General features: G+C 39.9%; 1 annotated feature.

The window, feature by feature from the left end:
- Nucleotides 5072–5594: an enhancer, noted in NCBI's record as "H3K4me1 hESC enhancer chr2:6423042-6423564 (GRCh37/hg19 assembly coordinates)". NCBI's record gives its function as "activates a minimal SCP1, AML or CMV promoter by ChIP-STARR-seq in primed H9 embryonic stem cells {active_cell/tissue: H9 hESC(primed)}" and the evidence as "EXISTENCE:reporter gene assay evidence [ECO:0000049][PMID:30033119]".

Consider the following 5811-nt stretch of genomic DNA (forward strand, 5'->3'; position numbering starts at 1 on the left):
TGACTCACGCCTGTAATCCGAGCACTTTGGGAGGCTGAGGCGGGCGGATCACAAGGTCAGGAGATCGAGACCATCCTGGCCAGCACGGTGAAACCCCGTCTCTACTAAAAATACAAAAAAAATTAGCCGGGTGTGGTGGCTGGCGCGCCTGTAGTCCCAGCTACTCAGGAGGCTGAGGCTGGAGAATAGCATGAACCCGGGAGGCGGAGCTGGCAGTGAGCCGAGATCGCGTCACTGCAGTCCAGCCTGGGCGACAGAGCGAGACTCCGTCTCCAAAAAAAAAAAAAAAAAAAAAAAAAATTTGAGCAAGTTTGCTGTTGTATTGTAATGTTTCTCTCAGGTTTGTTCTTCCTATCATGTTTGATATTCCATGAATAATTGAGATCAGCCCTATGTAAGCTAAGATCATAATATGTGGAACAAATGGCATTGTAAGTGCTTTCAAAGGGTAATATTTATAAGAAAGTGACCTAAAAATGATTTCTTCAGCCTGAGGAATTATAGAATGATAGGAAGTCTCTCAAGTTAGCCTTCACGCAATTTCATAGATTAAAACATAACATTTGTCCAGAATTTAAAGACTTACATACCTTCCTAAATTGTTACAGTGCTTTACCGAATCTACGACTTCTACATCACACAAATCAGCGGTCAAATGTAAACAATATCTTGTAAATGTACTGTAGGTTTGCGACCTTTTTTAGATTTATGCGTGTGGATATGTTAATAATGTAGTTACAATCACCACAAAGTCAGCTTTTTAAATTGCAGACAGTAGTGCATGTCACACTAACATGTAGTGGTCTTTTCGAGGCCTCATCCCAGGGAAAATATTTTGTAGAGTATAGGGGAGTGGGAGGAAGGGGAGGAATAATCTTTTATTTAAAGTTGATTTCTGCACTATCTTTTACTCAATTGCCCGCATGAATAATAATGAGGAATATTTTGTGACTTTAACTGGTAAACATGTTACAAAAGCAACTACTTAATCTTTTACATCATGTCTTCAGCTATTTGTATTTTAACGAGTAATTTCAATGGTCTGAGACATGATTCTGAGCTTCACATGATATCTTACTGTGGAACCCAAAAGTTTGATCACTGAATTTGGCAGTTATTATTACCTAGGTACCCCTGTTTAGATACATGTTCCTGAATGAAGCTGCTTTTGAATTTTGTTATGTCGAAATACAAGAAATAACAATGACGGCAGCAATTAAGGTAACAAATCATGACGTAAAGGAAAACCAATGAGGAGTTCTGCATTTTTCTTTTTTTTGTTTGTTTGTTTGTTGAGATGGAGTCTCACTCTGTCACCCAGGCTGAAGTGCAGTGGCAAGATCTTGGCTCACTGTAACCTCCACCTCCTGGGTTGAAGCGATTCTCCTGCCTCAGCCTCCCAAGTAGCTGGAACTACAGGCACGTGCCCCAACGCCCAGCTAATTTTTGTATTTTTAGTAGATACGGGGTTTCACCATGTTAGTCAGGATGGTCTTGATTTCTTGACCTTGTGATCTGCCTGCCTCGGCCTCCCAAAATGCTGGGATTATAGGCGTGAACCACCGCACCCCGCCTGCAGTTTTCTTTTAATAAGTAAAGTGAGACGTGGGTCATGGGAAGAACCAATTAGTCTCCCTGCCACCCTGTGAGTGTGTGCACTCACGCATGTGTTGTCTATATGTAAGCCACTCGCTTTTTTTTCCTTTGAAACTGGTAAAGTTAAAATAGGGGAGAAATCCTATATGTTGCAATGATAGCATTTTGGAAAATTTAAGAAATCAAACTCTCCATGTTCTCCATCTTGATTTATGCTTGAGTTGTTATGTGCCATATTTGCTTTGAATTCTGATTACCAGAAGTTTTACTAAATTTTTGAAGAAATAATTCACTTTCATCTGCTTTCTAGATTTTGTACATCTCAGTTCATAAAGCAAAGCTTGTTGATAGTGTAATTTTCTAAACACTGCAAATTTGCAGCCGTAACCACTACAAAGAAGTTTGGATGAGGGATTTTTTTTTCTTTGTTAAAATAGTTCCTGTTTCTGTAGAAATTTCATTTTTAGATTAAACTGTGATGGATTAACTAGCATAATTCAAGTATACTTTTCTTTTTTTTCTATTGGACACTCATTGTCATGCTGTAGTAGTAAAAACATTAAAGATGCAACAAGCTTATGAAGTACTATTTTCTAAACAAACAAACAGGAGGCATTTTCATCTTTGTTATTGTACTTTTGGTTATGCAAACACTTTGATAATATAAACAGTTATGTCCTCTATAAATCTGGCCAGAAACCTCTTTTGATTTTGTTATGTAAGTTAAATAGTCTATAGTAGGTAGAGTACTGGGTACAAGTGGTCCAAACTAAGATAAGAGACTAAAATAAAATGCTAAATCTTAAAAGAAACTGGGTAGATGCACTAAAAGTTTGGTGTCTTGGTCTAATATTAACATGATGTCTGTGTAAAATGACAAAAAGAACCAGTGTTGAACCACACTGTATTTTCCATCATCTCAGATTGCTAAATGTGTTGTTTCCAAGAAGTCTGAATGAATGAATGAATGATTATATACATTTGCTGTCATGTATACGTGACAGTTGTGTCATTGTTAGAGATTTCAGTAATTAAAATGGGAAACAGAGGCTTAAGTTATTTTCCTTATCAAAAAAAAACCCTGAAAATAAAAAGGGTCTCATTGGATCCAGAGACTATTGTAACTAGTACACAGCAGTAAGCATTTATTAGGTTAGGGGTGGAGACACAAAGAATAAGCTGCATTTGCAAATACATTTATGTGTATCAGGGTTTGCAGATCAGCAATGTGAAACACCAATAGTATTGGTGGTGAGGAGGCCACCATCACACCCATTCATTTGAAATATATGGTGCAGAATTCTTGCCCTCGGAGTCGGTAACTTTTGTCCTGACCTATGTTACTAATTTGTTTTATGAAAAAGAAATCAATTAATTGCCCTAGGCCCATTTATTCAGCTATAAAATGAGAATTTATATTAGAATCTGTGATAATCTATGGACAGCAAACAGGTAGGCTAAAAATTTTTCCTAATCTGGAAGGTGTTTTATTTGTGTAGCAGGTAAATAATAAGAAAAAAGTTCTTATTTGTCAAAGTCCACTCTTTATTATTTATACCTGATTAACTTTATTTATTTACATCACTTACCTGGCCAATTAAGGCATTTAATTTTTGTGTGTGAATCTTCTCTGCTAGTAAAATCTTATGACTCAGCATACAATTTCTTTCATACCTTTAAATAATTTATAACTTGGTTTGGAACTATAACCCACTGGCCCTTGGAAAAAATAATCATAAACGCAAAGGAATAATTGGAAAAAAATAGATGAAGAAAAAGATTGCAGGGTAGAATTATCATTTATTAATATTTTTCTCATCAATGTAATTCCATTCAAACCACTTATACAAAAAAAAAAAACAAAACAAAATAAAAAAAAAAAAAACAATACCCTCCCTAGTGTTAAGGGCTCACCCAGAGAGAAAAAGTACACATAAGCTATTCTTTCAGTTTGCCTGTCTTCACCTTGCCCTTCATTCAGACCACTCACATGATGCTATCTTGTCAGGAAGTTGCATTATTATTGCTTGAAACTCTGCTGCTTATTGTATAAGCTCCGAAGGGGCAGGGACCCCACCCTTCCCCATCTCTACATTCACAGCACATAGCCAGTAAACTGCTATATTTTCAAAAACATTAATAAATGACTAGAATGTTTCATTCCCAAATGTTGTCTAAATGGAAAATATAAACCACCAGCATGTGGCTTAGATAGGTGGGATGACTGAATGACAATGATTTATCAGGGGAAGGTCAGTTGTTTGATGCGGACGCTCTAAGCTGAGGTGCAGGATGCGCTATCCATTGCTGCGGTAGGCCCTGTTAGGCTTCTCCAACATCTGCTTCCTCTACCCTTTGAACCCAGCTATGGTCGAGTGACTAATACAGGCATCTTAAAATGTGGATAAATGACCTTCTCAAGTCAGTAGAAGTCTTCAGGGCTAAGGCCTCTCAGCTTTGATCCCCCATTTCTAATATTCTGTTCTGTGAGGCTGGGACAGGAATTCTGAAAACACTATTTCAGTTTTTGCAGTTTGCTTCCTGCTGGGCTGTGTCACTGTGGAGCCTCAGACATGGCTCCTGGAGAGCAGGTGGTGGGAGGGGAGATTGGCCTCTTCTTGTGGATTTCTTCCCGTCAACAGCGCTCATGCTAAAGTTCCTCACTGCTAAAGCTGCAATTTGTTCCAATAGCAATGGGCTCCAGGTTCCAGAATTCCTACACACTTGCAGAAATTACGGGAGAGTGCCCGTCCCTCAAGTGCCTGACTCTCTGCTCTACAGGGTGCTCTGCAATCTCCTAGGTTCTGATAACCTCCGACATCTCCTTTTGTGCCCCAGTCCTAAATGCCAAGTGGCTTCCTGCAGTTTCTCTCTCATTGTTATTCTCTCCCTGGTCCTTTTCCCTTTATAGTTCTCTATTTTTTATGTTAAATGGTCTCTCCAAATAACTGATGTGTTTTCCTCAACGAACCCTTGACTGAAGCAGAGCCAGAACACCTTGTACTAGGCTTCTCTTTCTCTGATTACCCAACTACCTTTTTAACAGGGACACATCCGTCCTTCAGGATCTCGGGTGAACATGACAACATGGCATGGGGATGGTGTTGGAGGCTGGGTCGCTGTGCAGGAAGATGGTGGAGAGGAGACAGGCAAGGCCACACAGCAATGGCTGCGTCCTGAAGAAGAAGGCTCCACTTTCCTTCATTTCCCTGGGGTTTCAGATTTCAGGAAAACCTAATGCCATTAGTTTGTATCCTTTGCAAATTTCTATCATCTTTACAGTTTACCGGTTTATCCATTTACTTAATAATTGCTTATTTTTCATTATCATTAACCCATTTCCCAGCATGAAATAGAGTTTTCTTGTCTTAATCTTCCCCAAGCATATCCCATTTATTATGAAAAAAAATCAAAAGCTATATTCTTGAAATAGTAACATTTTCAATGATATTCTATGTCACTTAATAAAATGTTATTTATATTGAACAGGTATGTTTTCAAGATAAGGCATATATTTTGAGGGTGGAGAAGAGGGCATTTTACCTTAATGCCAAGCTCTCCTGTTTCTGTTTGATGCAAATGGACATTTGATTTTTCTTTATCTACACATGACGCCCATCCCATTCAAGCAATGAGTCACTCAGCAACCCTGTCCACGTTCTGCACACGGAACAACCACATGCCATCTCTTGAAGTTGGTCCCAACACCGCAGGAGAGGAGGGCAGCTGAGCATGGGCAATATGGGTCCTCTGGTCTCATTTGCTTTTGCAGACTAGTGAACACTTTATTTTTGAAAGATCATACTCGGGTCTTTTCTGCATTAGCACAGTGATACTACATTGTGGTTTGGCCATCGCTTCTTAACAAACCCACAATGGTGTTCAGCCAAGATCAGAGCTGGCATAACTAAAACAATCACGGAGCGAGTGCGTGCATGTGTGTGTGTGTGTGTGCGCGTGCGTGCGTACATGTGTGTGCGCGCACATGTGTGTGTGCGTGTGCGGGCGCGTGTGCATGCGTGCGTGCGTGTGTGTGTGCGCGTGTGTGTGTGCGTGTGTGCATGTGTGCGTGTGCGCATGTGTGTGCGTGTGTGTGGTGTGTGTGCGTGTGTGTGTGTTTGAAGAAGGCTACTGAGAAAGGTAAGGTTTCTAAAGGGCTGCTGGCCAACCCTGGCCTAAGAAGGCTTCCACCCTGCTCACAATGTATCCCTCCAG

This window comes from Homo sapiens, chromosome 2 (assembly GCF_000001405.40).
Source record: "Homo sapiens chromosome 2, GRCh38.p14 Primary Assembly".
Taxonomy (NCBI): Eukaryota; Metazoa; Chordata; class Mammalia; order Primates; family Hominidae; genus Homo; species Homo sapiens.